This window comes from Homo sapiens, chromosome 8, assembly GCF_000001405.40.
Source record: "Homo sapiens chromosome 8, GRCh38.p14 Primary Assembly".
Lineage (NCBI taxonomy): Eukaryota > Metazoa > Chordata > Mammalia > Primates > Hominidae > Homo > Homo sapiens.
The window spans coordinates 141,374,186-141,387,277 of NC_000008.11; the positions used below are offsets into that span (position 1 = coordinate 141,374,186).

Below are 13,092 nucleotides of genomic sequence, written 5' to 3' on the forward strand. Positions count from 1 at the left end.
TCTAACCTTAGTCCTTCCTGCAGCAGCTTCATCTCATTCTGGCTCCTAAGAGCTGGACCTGCTCACCCTGCCCTCTCCTCCTAGGGGCCAGGAGACCATCTCTTAGTAAGTGAAAGGGATGCAGTGGTCCTGGGGGATGGCGGCAGTGGGATGGACCGCTGATGTTACCTCCACTGTCATAAGCAAGGAAACTAAGCTCTGAGGAACCACCCAGCTACTGAGAGGTGGAGCCAGGATTTGAACCATTCAGGTGAGCCCAGGGCCTCGGACTGGCTCCCATGGCTGTGAGCCTCACATTTCCCTGTGCGGAGACCCTCCTGCAGTGGGTTCCTCCCCTACTCACCAGGGCTGACCCCTACCTCCCAGGGGAGCCCTGGGCAAGTCCCAGCCTGTCTCCTTCCCGACCTGGGTCTGTCCATCTGGGCAGTGGGGGTACAACCCCAGCGAGGCGGTGGAGGAGTCAGGGCCACTATTTATAGAGGCCTGCTGCCTCTGCCGACTGCCTGCCGCCCTGGAGGAGTGCGCGGGAATGGGAGGAGGGAAGCTGTTGTTGGCGGGGTAGGTTACGTTCCGGAAGGCTGGTGCCAACTCTCCCGGTTGGCAAGCGGGGGAGGGCGCTGGGAACCGAGCAAAGGGGAGTGGATGGCACCCGCCAATGGGCGGTCCCAACAGGGTAGGCGGGGCCCTGGCGGGGGCTGCAGACCAGATCTCACGTGCCTCTGCTGAGGCCCCAGCCCAGGACCCCGAAATCCAAACTTCTCTGAGACAGGGAAGCATTTAGGTAGGTTTGACACAAGCTCACTCAGCCGCGTAAACTGACTGGACCCAACCCGAGGGTATTCAGCATCCATTTATCCCTCCCGGTGGGCATACCAATAAGGCTCGTGGCAGAAGTATCAGTGTGTGTGGTGGAGGTGCTTCCCAGACCCCATGGGGTGTATGTGACCTCCGCTAGGTGCATCTCACTGTCTTTCTAAAATCTGAGCCAGACCCTGAAATGCACACAGCCTCAAAAGTTTCTACAAGCCACTGTGAACCTGATTGTCTCCTGCATTTTACAGACGAGAAACCTGAGACTTGGAGAAGGGACCAGCGGGTGGCCGGGACCTGCCCTGGGGGCTGAGACGAGGACTCCTTGGGATCGGAATTCCAGCCCTTGCTGGTGGGGCCCAGTTTGAGGTTGTCCCAAGAGCTATGGAGTCTCTCACTAAGGAAGTACCTTCCCTGTCTCTGCTACCCCCTAAAATCGGCCTGTTCTGTCCTGAGCGGTCTTCCTGGAGGCCTCCCAGGGGAGCTCAGCCCCCACTGGCAGCCCTGGCTCTGCCTAGTTCTGAACCCCTACCGGCTGTTGTTCACTGTCTGGGGCACAGACCCTCTCTGCCTCCAGCCCCATGGGTGCTGATCCAGGAGGGGCTACCTCCTCCAACTCTGTCACTGCTCCTCCAGGGTACCAGCTGAGGCCAGGTCCTCAGGTGCTTTGGAGGTGGGAGTGAGAACTAGGCTCAAAGTCTAAGCCCCGGGCTCAGGTCCCAGCATGGCCCCTGACCAAGGCCAGGGTTTCGTGGCTCAGAGCCTCAGCTGGCTCACTTGGAGTCAAGAGCATTGGACTCTGTCCTGACCAACTCGTGGGGCCATATGGGGGGTCAAGTGTGAGGCCTGGGTCAGGGCTCAGCCTGTGACCAGGGTCAGAGTTCACTGTGTGACCAGGATCAGGGCTCAGGCTGTGACTAGAACCAAGGATCAGTGTGTGACCAGGGTAGGGGACCAGTGTGTGGCCAGGATCAGGGCTCAGTGTGTGAGCGGGATCAGGGCTCAGTGCATAAGCGGGATCAGGGCTCAGTGTGCGAGCGAGATCAGGGCTCATCCTCTGGCTGGAGTCAGCAGTCAGGGTACTCAACCCGATGCAGGTTACCCCCCATCTACTCTGGCCCCCTTAAGAAGGCCTCTCATAGACCAGGTGGCCCTACGTAGGGCATTTCTCATGACCTCTGCGCCTTGTCCCGGGGTGGGGTTGGCGGTCCTCTTTCCAGTGAGGAATAGGGAGGTGCTCAAAGTCCCCTCCCAGGCGCTCCCCACATCCCCTCCCAGGCTCTCCCCACATCTTTCTCACAGTAGAGCTGCTGGGGTCTGGGATCCAGCAGGCCTGCCCGTGCAGGGCCCCAGGCCACTTCCTGCTTATGAGGCGTGTCAGAAGGACAGAGAGCAGGCCCGGAAGGTGCTTAGCTGGTGGGGGCGGCTGGGAGCCGCCGAAGCTCAGGAAGAGGTGAGGGAGCCTGGGTAGGGCAGGCACATTCCTGGGAGCGGCTGAAGCTCAGGGAAGAGGTGAGGGAGGCTGGGTAGGGCAAGCACGTTCTCAGGCTGCAGGGTGGCTGCCCATGGCCGGGGTGCTTTTGGATGGCCAGCTCCCCGGTTCCCATCCTGCTCGGGCCTCTGCTTTTGAAGAGGGTCATGGTGAACGTCTGGATTTTGGGCCCTGTGTTCCCTCTGATGAGCTGGACTCTGGGCTCCAGTCCCCACTCCCCCCGCCCCCCACCCTGCTCTCAGGAAATGAGCCTTGTGCCCAGACTGGGCGCCTTCCCTGACCCTGCGACTCAGGCCCTTCTCTGTGGGGGGCGTGAGAGCCTTGAGCCTGGCAGGAAACTAGGTAGCAGATCCACAAACACAAAGGGACAATTGGCCGTCATGATAGCGATGGTGGTGACGGCAGTATCTTCATGACAGTGGCCCCGCAGCAGGGCACGGAGCCACCTTGTGCTGTTCCTCACAAGGGCCGGCCATGGGGTGCAAGGGCTGCAAGTGAGAAACTCTGCAGACCCCAGCCAGACCTGGGGGAGCCCCGTCTCCAAAGGCCCTGCTTGGTGTGGCAGGTGGGATTAAGGTTGGCGGTCGGTGGAGGAGCAGGTGGGGCTTCCTGGAGGGGAGGGAGGAGAGACCCCACTGGTGGGTGGTGGGAGGGGCAGCAGGTCTCAGGCGGGAGTCACGGCTAAAGGCCAGTTCTGGGTGGGGCCTCCTATCACTGCGGGCAGGGGCAGGACAGCTGGGGATGGGCTACTGAGGGATCGTGTCTAGAAGCAGATGGTTGCTGTGTCCCGCCTGTGGGTGTCTGGGGAGTGGGCAGACTGGGCATGGTCATGGGTAGGGAAGGGGGTGTGGCCCTCTCAGACCCAGCAAAGACCCTGGGGTCCTGGCCACCAGTCCAGCCTCTGTTTCTACCAGACACCTGTGTGTGGGACAGGTGGACAGTCAGGTCATTTGAAAATATTCTCCAAGAGGAAGCTCTTAGAATCTTTCGTCCCTTTAGCTGGGGTGGGTGGGGGGGCAACATCCTTTGATTCAGAGTTTTGGATCTGGGGTCCTGGGCAGCTCCAATGGCTTCACGAACCCCTAGACTTTGTGTGTGTGCAACTGCCCATGTGTGTGCCATGAGGGTCCATTGGGACTGTGAAGGGTCTGAAAACCCACGTGGGTTAGAACCACGGTGTGGTCCGGCCCCGTTCAGTGCAGATGGGGCAGGCAGCCCCCAAAGCCACGCTGAGAGTTGGAGAGTTAGAGCCAGGTCAGCTGTTGGGAAGGGCTTCTCTGCCCCCATGCCCCAGACCCTCCTTCAGGGGCAGATTTCTGTCAGAGAGACTGGGATGGGCCTCAGATGAGCCCCATCAACATCCAAAGAGAAATGGATTGTGGAAGATCCGCCTCACTTGTCCAGCTGACCATGTGTCTATCTGTCCTTCTCCAGGACCCTGGCAGAGAAGGCTGCCGGGGGGCCGGCCACCACCGTGTGGGGTTAGTTCCAGGCAGCAGCGTCCCGGTGGCTTTCATCCTTCACCTTTGTACATCCTGGCCGTGTTTGACATCTTTACGGTGAGCTCGTGCCGTTCTATAAACATACGTCCTTTTCTTCCTTAAAGAACAGCAAAAAGTTGCCTGGAGTGACTGGAAGCAACCCTCGCAGGACATTAGCAAGGATTAGTTCTGGGCGGGAGAAAGCAGGTGACTGTTAATTTCTTCTTTCCACTGATTTGTATTTATTATTAATTTATTTAAAAATTTTAATACAGAAACCCCTCTGCTCTCTAATTGTTCAGTCACTTGCATATCACCATCAGGCCTGTACATCAGTAGAGGCAGAAATGTGTAGCTTAATGCCAACTTCCCTTCCCAGGTTGTGGGTGCAGGGTGACAGGAGGAGAGAAGCCCTGGCGCACGCCTGCCTCATCCCTGGCTGGTCCTGGGCAGGCGTCACCAATCAATGAGGCTCTTGCTCCCCAGGAGCCTGGATGGACACCCCCTCCCCGGCCCTCTGGGCAACCGGCCCAGTGGACCAGCAGAGCAGGCAACATGGCCCCGACTGGATTGGGTCCAGACTCCTTAATTTATCCATGAAGAACCTGAAGCCCAGAGGCATAGTAATTGCCAAAGTCCCACAAGTGTTCAGGGCCAGGCTGCCCCTGGCTCAGTGTTCTTCCTGCTGGGAGCTGGGCCATGGGCTCTGCACTTCCTCACTCTGCATTTGGGTCCATCTGGTTGGGACTGCCAGGCAGGGTGAGGGAAGCCTCCCAGCACTGTCCACCGTCCGGGGGAATACTTAATGTGTCATGTCCTCCACCTGGGCAGGGGCAGGGCAGGGGTGAAACACCTCCCTGCCCACCAGAGCTGCCTCCCCCAGAGTCCCAGACCCAGGAACCAGCCCCCGCCCCACCCTGAAGCCTGCCAGGACCCAGCCCTTACCAAGGGGCCCAGGGGTTGTAGCTCAGAGGCGTGGGATGCGGACCCCCGACCACCTAGCTGGCAGGGGGCAGAGTCCGGACTCAGACCCAGGACCACCCATGCCAGCACACAGCCCCTTCCCCACAGGCGCCTGTGGAGCAAGTCAGGAGGCAGGACACAGCCTTGAGGACTGCAGGTCTGATGAGGACAGTATCTGCCCTGGGGACCCTGATCTGAGGGAGGAGGCAACAAAAAATGACTCATCAACGGGGTGATGGGGACATTTTGGGATGGCAAATTTGGATCTCAACCCGGGCCCCACCGCCTCCCACCAGAAGCAGTTACTTAGCCTCCCTGTGCCTCAGTTTCCCCATCTGCATAGTGAGGACAGCAATGTTTGGGGCCGTGTGAGGAGTAAATGAGGCAACAGTTGTGGTTTGGGTCTGGTCCGTGGCTGTGTGGGGTCAAGTGAGCCCGTGTGTGCCCATGGCTGCCTGTGCATCAGAATCACCGGGAGTTCCCATCAAACACAGACATCCGGGCCTGGCCCAGGGAGGCTGACTTTAATGGTCTGGGCAGAGACCTGGTCATCAGCACTTTTTTTTTTTTTTTTTTCCGAGACAGAGTCTCATTCTGTCTCCCAGGCTGGAGTGCAGTGGCGTGATCTTGGCTCACTGCAACCTCCGCCTCCAGGGTTCAAGCAATTCTCCTGCCTCAGCCTCCTGAGTAGCTGGAATTACAGGTGCCCGCTACTATGCCTGGCTAATTTTTGTATTTTTAGTAGAGATAGGGTTTCACCATGTTTGCCAGGCTGGTCTCGAACTCCTGACCTCATGATCTGCCTGCCTCGGCCTCCCAAAGTGCTGGGATTACAGGCGTGAGCCACCGTGCCCGGCCGGTCACAGCATTTTAAGGACTCTGCCATGATTCTGATGTGCTGCCAGGGTGGCTGTGCCTGAGCCGGCCTTTGGCTCTTGCGCACACACTGAGATGCCGGTTCGAGTGGATACAGGGGGTCAGCCCACTTGTTTCCCACGGCCAGCCTCCAGTTGGGCTCACATTGAGTAACTGTCTGAGCCCAGTCCCAGGTAGACATCGTCAGTTTCCACGTGTTCCTTCATTCACTCAGGAACAAATGGGCTTTACTTTATCCGAGGCCTTGTAGATAATTATTTTTTCCCTCTGTAAACCAAGTCCTGCTTAAATCCCATCCAAATCCCTCCAGCCAGAGCCCATGCTGCCTGCGAGCCTGCTCCCCATCTCCGGCTGAGCAGGTTTGTTTAAGGCTGGGCTGACACTTCTTCTCCCCGCGCCTTGGTGTGTTTACACTGGGGCCATCAGCAGAAACTGCAGGTGCGGCAGGGAGGCTGGAGACAGGGCAGGGACCATGGGGGTTTCAGGGCGTCCTTTCCACACAGTGTCTCAGGTCGCCCTGTTCCCAGCCTCGTCCTCGTTCTCGTTCCCACAGGCGAGGCCTTGGAGGTCACTCAGGACAGGGGAAGTGCTGAGGCGAGGCCTCAGGCTGCTAAGTGGAGTGAGCCCAGGAAGGCTTTTTGAGTGGGGGACGCCCGAATTGGTTTTCTGTGAAGACCAGGGAGCAAACGTGCCTGCCATGGAGTGAACGGCAGGACCCGCAGGGAAAACCTCAGGCAGCGGCTTGAAATACCATGGCCGTCCATGGAGGGGGCTGGTCAGATGCTGGCGGTGTGGGCAGAGGAGGCTCTGGGCCACTGCCTGAGTGTGAGTCCTGCCACCACCACCTGATGGCTGAGTGACCTTGGGCACGTTACTTAACTTCCCCATACCTCGGTTGCCTCATCTCTCAAGGGAGTAATCATATTAACTTCTCAGGGTCATTGCAAGGGTGAAATCATCTAGAGACACAGAGCCTAGAATACCATACTCAGGAGTTTGTGCTCTGCCCTATAGGCAGTGGGGAGTTATGGCGAGTGGTTGAATAGTGCTGGAGCTGGGCTTTCTGAGGGTCTGAGCTCCCAAAGCCTTTTCTGTATGGCTGGGTTGTGAGGCTTTTATATTGTCACTGCTGACCAATCACAGATTGGCTACCCTTCCTCCTGGCCAGTGATTGGTTTAGGGTGGGTTAGCCTAGCCAGCTTTGGGCCAATGACAGGTGACCAGAGGCTTATTGTGGGTTCTGAGCTCCCTCCTGTCCCCGGATAGACAGGCAGCCTTTTTGTGAGCATGAGGGGAACCTGCCTGAGAATGATGGTGGGGAAAATCTTAGAGAGGCACAGCTGGGTGTGGTCACCCTGTCCTGGAGCCCACAGTCCCTCTGCACTTCCCGTTATGTGAGTTCCTAAATTTCCTCACTGGGAAGCCTGGGATTCTGTCACTTGCTTCTCAAAGTACCCAGTGTCCACATGGCAGAGTGTCCTCCTAGAGCCCACATCTGATTGCATCCCTCCCTGCTGAAAACCGTCAGGGGCTCCCACCCCTTGATGAGGAAGCACAGTGCTTCACCCCATAGCCTGTGCCTCCCACTGCGGGTTCTGCCGGCCCCTGACTGTCCTTGAACACACCAGGCACACATCTGCTGTGGGGCCTTCGCGCTGCTCCTCCCTTGGCCAGGAGCATTCTTCCTTTAGGCCGGTCACTGCTCACCTCATTGAGGGCCGAGCTCAAATGTTGGCCCCTCAGGGCAGGTGGGTGGCCAGGACCATCTGGGTTTGCTGCAGCCACACACACCCCTGATTCTTCTGTGGCCTTATTGATGGAGGTGTGGGTCTCGCTCACGCCATGAATTGCTGGTCGGTGTGGTGGGGGATGGGTCTCTTGCTCCTTGGTGGCTCGGGGACCTGAATGACAGAGGCTCCGCCATTGCCTGCAGCCGGTGCTGTCTCAACACAAGGCCTCAGGTCCCCTGTGGTGGGGGAGAGTGGAAGAACAGGGCACCAGTTCCTAAAAGCTTTGTCCCTGAAGTGTCCATCACATTCATCTCTTCTACTCGCATTCCAAGGACCACAGTCAGTGGTGGTGGCCATGCCTAATATGAGGGGGCATGACCCCAAGCCTGGAAGGGGCCTGGCACACAGCAGTGGCTTCCTGGCCATCCAGTCCCCGTGAGCGGTCTCTCCCCTCCACAGCGGCGTCCTGTTCTTATTCGGGAAAAAATGCACATAACACAAAATTCACCATGTTAAAGTATGCAACCCGCCTTCATTCACAGGGTGGAGCCCCATCACCTCTGCTTCCAAAACATTTCCATCACCCGAAATGGGAAACCCCATTCCTCCCGCCGAGCCCTGGCAACCAACAATCTGTGCTCATCTCTATGATGTGCCCACTCTGGGCATTTTGTATAAATGGAATCATGTGATATACAGTCTGTCGTGTCTGGCTTCTTTCACTCAGCCTCATTTTCTCAAGAATCGTCCACACTGCAGCCTGGATCAGAGTGTCCTTCCTTTTCATGGCTGCATGCTATTCCACTGCTGAGATGTGCCACCTTTTCTTTGTCTGTTCATCCAGTGATGGTTGACGGACATTTGAGTGTTTCCTGGCTTTGGTCATTGTGAACAGCACTGCTACGCGTGTTCACATACAAGTTTTTGTTTGAGTCCTGGCTTTTTTTTTTTTTTTTTTTTTTGAGATGGAGTCTCGCTCTGTCACCCAGGCTGGAGTGCAGTGGCGCGATCTCGGCTCAATGCAAGCTCCGCCTCCCTGGTTCAAGCAATTCCCCTGCCTCAGCCTCCTGAGTAGCTGGGACTACAGGCGCCCAACACCACGCCCAGCTAATTTTTGTATTTTTAGTAGAGACAGGGTTTCACCATGTTGGTCAGGCTGGTCTCGAACCCCTGACCTCGTGATCCACCCACCTCGGCCTCCCAAAGTGCTGGGATTACAGGCGTGAGCCACCACACCCAGCCAAGTCCTGGCTTTTAATTCTTTTGGGTAGATACCTGGGCCTCATCCCATTGCATTCCTTCTATAACTGATCCCCCTCCGCAGTTACTTGCTCCCAACGTGCCTCTGTTTCCCTCTCTGTGAACTGGGCATGTTGCTGATCTCCAGTTATGAGCAGTGTCTCTCTTAGGTGGTGTGTTCTGCAGGGAGGGGAAGCAGCCGCTGCCCCTGCACGCGCCTGGCCATGCTCACAGCATCTTCCCGTCGCTCCTTGACTTGTTCACTGACCCCTCCCTGATGTGGCCGGAGGACGGGGCCTGGTATCACCTTGTCCTGTGCAGGCCTGACACGTAGAAGGTGTTTGGCTGATGCTTGCTAGTATAGGAATAAGCTAGTTCTCTAACCTGGAGTTCCTCCCTGTGAGGTTTTGTTTGCAAGAAAAAATCTGCTGCTAAGCCAGCTGTGGAGGCACATGCCACAGTCCTAGCTACTCTGGAGGCTGAGGCAGGAGGAGCGCTTGAGCCCGGGAGTTTAAGGCTGCAGTGAGCCATGCTCGCACCGCTGCACTCCAGCCTGGGCAACAGAGCCAGACCCTGTCTCTTAAACAAACAAACAAACAAACAAACAAACACCCTGCTGCTAAAACATGTGGAAAGTGTGATGGACGCCACACTGGCAGTTTTGCTTCCTCAGCCAGCACCTCCCACATGCTCCCAGGGTCAGAGGTCAGGGATCAGGCTGGCTCCTGGTAGGGGGCTCTGTGTGCCCTGGCAAGTCGCCCCTCCCTGGGCCAGGAGCGAGGTGAGGGTGTCCACAGCAACAGGCTGTGTTTGGACACAAGCGGGGTGGGGCTGCACCACACGGGGCTCTTCCTGTGCCTTATAAATCAGCTCCCAAGAGCATTCCCCAAAAGGAGTTTCAGCTGCTCCCGAGCCCAGGACAGCAGGCTGGTCTCCCCTCCGGTGAGAAATCTCCTCTCCCGTCTACCACCCCAGGAGTTCCCCAGAGAGGCTCGGTTATCCTCCAAGGAGGGGATACTCGCTGCCTTGCCGAGATCGGAATCCACTTTTGCCTGTTCTCTAAGCCCTGCTGGAGATGTGGGAGTGCCCCTGCCCCACAGCCTGTTCCGAACTCACTTGGGCCATCGCCCAGCTCCAGCCTGTCTCTCAGTGTGAACCCCGAGAGCATCTTCTGCACCCAGGTGGATGGGTGGCTAACAGCATGGGCATCAGGGGCTCCTGGCTTTGCTTCCCCGCGCCTGCATTTCCTTGCTGTTTGGCTTTGGGTGATCTGCAGGAAGGAGGACTGCCACCGCCATGGCACGCGCCTGGCCTCTCCACTGGCACCTTCCTGTTGTTCCTTCCCTTGTTCGCCAACCCCTCCCTGATGTGGCCGGAGGACAGGGTCTGGTGTCGCCTTGTCCTGGCACAGGCCTGGCAGGCAGAAGGTGTCTGACTGATGCTTGCTGGATAGAGGAATAAACTAGAGCTAGATCTTGGGGCTCCCTGTGGGGTTTTGTTTGCAAGAAGAAATCCCCTTCTCTGCAGCTCCCTGGGGCTCTGTCATTGCAGAGGGGGACTGGGATGACTGGGGAGGCACGCGCCCTGCTGAGGGCAGCCACTTCTCCAGCCCAGCAGGCTGTAATCCGACATCCACAGGGATTATCCTGGTAACTGGTGGTGCATGGCCCCTGTGCTGAGAGGGCTGCAGTGTGCACGCCCCGTTTAGAGCATCGTATGGGTTCAGCATGTGTCCGCGGATGGGTGCTTGAGGAGCACCTGTCAGACGGGTGCCTGTCAGGCCATATTTTTGGCAATGGTAGCTTCCCGGGAATGAGGGATTTTTCCTGGGATAAAGGCCCCCGTGGAGGGTGGTCAGCAGCCCTGAGGACGTGGTATGAGACCCACAGCCTTCCTTGACTCCAGAGCGGCCAGGAAGCTGGGACTCCAGCAAGCTGTGCTGCCCCCACCAGTGCCTGTGTTCCCTGCATCTCACATGGAGCCTCACTCAACTCCTGTCCCTGAGTGCCCACTGGTGGGGACGAGGGAGATGGCAACTGTGGATGGATCCCAGGCCAGTGGAGAAGACAGACCCACACGCCAGGAGGATGAGGGGTTGTCAGGTTCGGGGGGCCTGGAGGCTGCCTCCTGCAGGCCCTGTCCCACGTGAGAGGGTCGGGACCTCAGGTTCCTCAGCCTGGACCTGCCGTGTCTTGGGCAGCATCCAGTGTTTGGGCCCCACGACCTCCAGGGAGGGTCACTTGTTCTGTGGCTGCCCTCTGTCCCCCACCAGGCTCCCCATGGAGGGCTCAGCATGCAGGCTCAGCACACATCAGGCATGGAGGCCCTGGCCCCACGTTCCCTGCTGCTGGGCAGTGCACAGCCTGCCTGAGCCTGGGTCCCTGGGTGGGGCCAGCTGCCCCCGCCCTCTTCTGGGCCTGGTGGGGACATTTGGACCCTCTGCATTGTTGCATCCCTAGATTCAGCCCTGCTCTGCTCCCTGTGGGGACACCAATCTCCCTTCCTCAGCCTCCCAACAGGCCTCATCTGCTGAGGAACGGGAGGCGTGGGGCCCAGGCACCAGGCCCGTCTCTTGTCCCTTCCCAGAACATCTTCTGCCTCCTCCCCTTCTCATCTTCCCCTTCACCTCCTCCCTCCTTTCTCCCTCCCTCTCTCTCTTTCCCTTCCCCCTCCCTCCCTCTTTTTCCCTTCTCCCTCCTCCCCTTCTTCCTTCTGTTCCTCGCTCTCCTCCCCCTGTCTCCTCTTTGCCTTCCTCATCATCTCTCCTCTCTCGTCCTCAGCTCAGGGACCTTCACTGAATCTGGAAAAAACAGGAGAAACAGCCTCATCACAAATTCTCCAAATTGTTCTTGGATTGAGGGTTGGGAACTTCAATGCCAGAAACAGTGTCATTTTCCTGGTTTGGCAAGGGTCTCTGAGCCCTGTGGGCCCCTCCAGGGTCTAAGAGGTCCCCAGAAAACAAGGTGGGATGAAAGCCTTCTGTCAATACCCTTGCCCAGAGGTACACGTGAGGGCTTCAGGACAGGAGGCAGGAGCCTCACTCCTGGGTCCCTGGTGGGCCAGGGGTACAGGGGAGAGCGGCGTTCTGAACCTGTGTGGGTCGGGGGGTTGGGCAGGCCCCGGTGGAAGGCCACTCCCCACTCTCCCTGGAGACCTCCCGTGGGGTCTCCCCCTCTGAAGATACAGGTTTTCCTAAGTCACACTGAGGGGCGGGCTTGCTGAGGCCCAGCTGGGGGTCTTCCTGCAGACCAGCCTGTCACTCCCCACTTGCCAGTGGTCTGGGCTGCAGCTGGGGAGGGCTTCTGCTCTGGGTCTCAGGACCTGGTGGGGGCAACTCATGGAGCAGGCTCTCCCTGCATTGGTGGGGGTGAAAGGACAGGCCCTTCCAGGCTGATCTCTGGGGGAGGGTCCTGACCCCTGGGAGCCCTGGGTGCTGAGGAGGCCTCTCCCAGGGCCATAGTCTCCATGGATGGAAGTAGGGGGTGGTGGCTGGGCCAGCCCCCGACACCCACCAGCTGCCAGGCCTGCTCTGAGAGTCCCCGATCCCTCCACCACCCTTGAGGCCACACCCAGCTGTGGTGTCCCAAAGCCCTGCTCTTGGGGCGGACAGGGAGCACGGTTCTACTTTCCCCACCAGCCGCTCCAGGCCGGCTCTGCTGGACCCTGCAGTGCAGAGAGGACGGAGCTGGACCCCACCTTGATGGGCCACAGGATGGGGGCACATCAGACGCACGAGAGGTCTCCCTTTGGCCATGCCATGTGTGCGGGAGCCTCAGTCAAGCTGTGAACACACTCAGCCTCAAAGGACTGAGCGGAGGGCCCCGCGCTTGCAGATCGCATCCTCCTTCACCGGGATTGTGGGGTGAGGAGCAGACCCCGGCTGCGGCTCTGCCTCTTGCCCTGAATGGGGTGCTGCAGGGCTGGCATGTGGACGCTTTTTGCTGGAGTATCCCCTGAATCCCAGCAGATGAGGAAGCCAGGTAGGGACCCGCAGGCAGGACCTGATACAGAATTTCAGGGCCCTGGGGCAAAGTGGAAATGCAGGCCTCTCATTCAAAAATGTTCAACGTCGCCCTACAGCAACAGCAGAGCATTCAACCGGGCTGAGGGTGGTGCCCGTGACCTGTGCCCAGCTCGTACCCAGTGCAGCGGCCCTGCCCCACAGGCCCCACGAGGGGGCGCCCGTGTGGCGTGCCTGAGGCCCGCTCCTCGCAAGCTTGCCTGCCCCGACCCTCCCGGCATCCTCAATGCCGCAGCGTGGGTGTCCCGGCCTCCTCACTGGCGGAAGCATCTATGGACGGTGGTCCTCCAGGAGCTGGGGGTCACAAGTGCAATGGCAGGTGCCAGATGGGGCTGAGGCCAGCAGGGCTGTGTGTGGTGGGACACCTGGCCACGGTCACCCCCAGGGAGGCCCCGTCATCCCCAGGAGACACCCTAGCTCTTGCCTGGGACCCCAGCACCAGGCCACAGGGTCCCTGCTGACTCCCCCATCCTCCCTCCG

The 13,092-nt window shown here is 58.8% G+C and overlaps 1 long non-coding RNA gene across 1 annotated transcript, besides 4 other annotated features; it reads left to right on the top strand.

Annotated features, from left to right (window-relative positions):
• Positions 1-30: 30 nt before the first annotated feature.
• On the top strand, positions 31-8,124 carry LOC101928037 (uncharacterized). The gene is made up of 3 exons (XR_007061125.1): positions 31-250; positions 3,737-3,861; positions 7,895-8,124. It is a non-coding gene; the product is annotated as an uncharacterized LOC101928037 (long non-coding RNA).
• Positions 819-1,593: an enhancer, noted in NCBI's record as "H3K27ac-H3K4me1 hESC enhancer chr8:142385104-142385878 (GRCh37/hg19 assembly coordinates)". NCBI's record gives its function as "activates a minimal SCP1, AML or CMV promoter by ChIP-STARR-seq in naive H9 embryonic stem cells {active_cell/tissue: H9 hESC(naive)}" and the evidence as "EXISTENCE:reporter gene assay evidence [ECO:0000049][PMID:30033119]".
• Positions 1,594-2,369: an enhancer, noted in NCBI's record as "H3K27ac-H3K4me1 hESC enhancer chr8:142385879-142386654 (GRCh37/hg19 assembly coordinates)". NCBI's record gives its function as "activates a minimal SCP1, AML or CMV promoter by ChIP-STARR-seq in naive H9 embryonic stem cells {active_cell/tissue: H9 hESC(naive)}" and the evidence as "EXISTENCE:reporter gene assay evidence [ECO:0000049][PMID:30033119]".
• Positions 2,370-3,144: an enhancer, noted in NCBI's record as "H3K4me1 hESC enhancer chr8:142386655-142387429 (GRCh37/hg19 assembly coordinates)". NCBI's record gives its function as "activates a minimal SCP1, AML or CMV promoter by ChIP-STARR-seq in naive H9 embryonic stem cells {active_cell/tissue: H9 hESC(naive)}" and the evidence as "EXISTENCE:reporter gene assay evidence [ECO:0000049][PMID:30033119]".
• Positions 9,938-10,555: an enhancer, noted in NCBI's record as "H3K27ac-H3K4me1 hESC enhancer chr8:142394223-142394840 (GRCh37/hg19 assembly coordinates)". NCBI's record gives its function as "activates a minimal SCP1, AML or CMV promoter by ChIP-STARR-seq in naive H9 embryonic stem cells {active_cell/tissue: H9 hESC(naive)}" and the evidence as "EXISTENCE:reporter gene assay evidence [ECO:0000049][PMID:30033119]".